Here is a 1,551-nt window from a genome sequence, read left to right on the forward strand (position 1 = left end):
CAGACTGAGGTTTCAGTTTGTCAACTGGTAGAATTTATTAGGAAGTAATTTTTAATAAAATCTAGTACTGCCACGAAGAAGAAAGTTCATGTTTTAGTTCTGCCACTCGCTATATGATCTTAAAAAGACTCAATATACTCTCTCATCTATGGACCTAAGACTAAATTTAAAGGATTGTAATAGCAATCAGATACCATCATATATGTAAAATACCTAGAATAGCATTTGCCATATAGTAGATGTTGAATGCATTTATGATTCCCTCTTAAATCAAGAAGTTTCCTGACTAGAAAAGTGAAAACACTGCTTCCTTTCACTTTGTTCATTTATGAGAGCTATACGTTCACTTACATAGAGCACAGTATTTCTCTTTGTTGCTCACTATCAACTTGAAACCGTTGTGATTTGCAAAGAAGTCTTTATGTATCATTGCCCAGGGAATGTTTTGAATGAATTTTTTTTTGTTTTCTTCAAAGACATATGTAAAGCGGTTTGGTGCTTTTAGGAAATTTTATTAGTAGATGTTCAATTTTCATTAAGACACGATACACATGATGGGGCAGAAGGCCACGTGCCAGCTGCAGAGAGAGCAAGCCCTTCTCTGTTTCAGGTGAAAGCTCGTGCTTTTGTTTCCATGAGACTTCAAGGGGAGGTTCTGTGGCAGTATTTATTTGGCTTATGGTAACCTCTCAGATGTATTGCATCTGCTCTGTAGTAAAGGATGTGGGCTCCCTTTTGGTGACTTGCTGCCTGACTCAGACAACAGGCATGTTTGTATTCCTCAGCTTTGATCTTTTCTGCCTGGTATCTAAATGAAGCCTTTCTTGTGCCTTCAAAGCTAAATGGCTTGTTTGGTTTCCAGTTACTAAACAGCTCTGCTCCTGCTACTACTGGGGTTCCCCTATCCTTGATTCTATTCTAACACCTTCAGTTGGAGAGCTGCAGGGATCCAAGCCAAAGTATAACTAACATGTAATAAATCTAATACCATGTGCAAGAGAGGGCACTAGTGCTTCCTGGGGTTGTGCACGCCAAGATTCAACTTAACCCTATGGTGGGACCTCGGAGTTGAGGTTAGAGGGTCAATAGGAAAAGAGAAAATGAAAGAAACCTTGATGTTCTCAAAAGAATGCTTAGCACTGTGGCTAAGGGTATGGATGCTGGATTTTAACAGCCTGGGCTGTGAACAATTGTTGCCAAGCCTGAGATTTCCTGTCTATGAATGAAGAGTGATGATAGTACTTACCTACCTTATTGTGAGTGTTAAATGAGAAAATAGAAATAAAATGCTTAGGACAACATTGCACACATAGCCGTGACTCAGGGAATACTACCTTTCGGTTATTAGTAGTAGTTATGTGCATTTTTATCCATCCTTAATGTCCAAAAGAAATGGTCTCTCCCATTCTCTATCTAGGGAAATTGAATTTATTCATAAAAATCAAATTCAAATATCTATTGCTGTGAATATTCTCCAATAGCCTTGTCATCGTTCATAGCAGGTACTCGAGCTACGCAAATAAAAACACAGTGTGCTTTAAAGGATTATTT

General features: G+C 38.3%; 1 annotated feature.

Annotated features, from left to right (window-relative positions):
- Window positions 636-930: an enhancer, noted in NCBI's record as "tiled region #1392; HepG2 Activating DNase unmatched - State 5:Enh". NCBI's record gives its function as "activates a minimal TATA promoter and a strong SV40 promoter by Sharpr-MPRA in HepG2 cells {active_cell/tissue: HepG2}" and the evidence as "EXISTENCE:reporter gene assay evidence [ECO:0000049][PMID:27701403]".

This window comes from Homo sapiens, chromosome 8, assembly GCF_000001405.40.
Source record: "Homo sapiens chromosome 8, GRCh38.p14 Primary Assembly".
Lineage (NCBI taxonomy): Eukaryota > Metazoa > Chordata > Mammalia > Primates > Hominidae > Homo > Homo sapiens.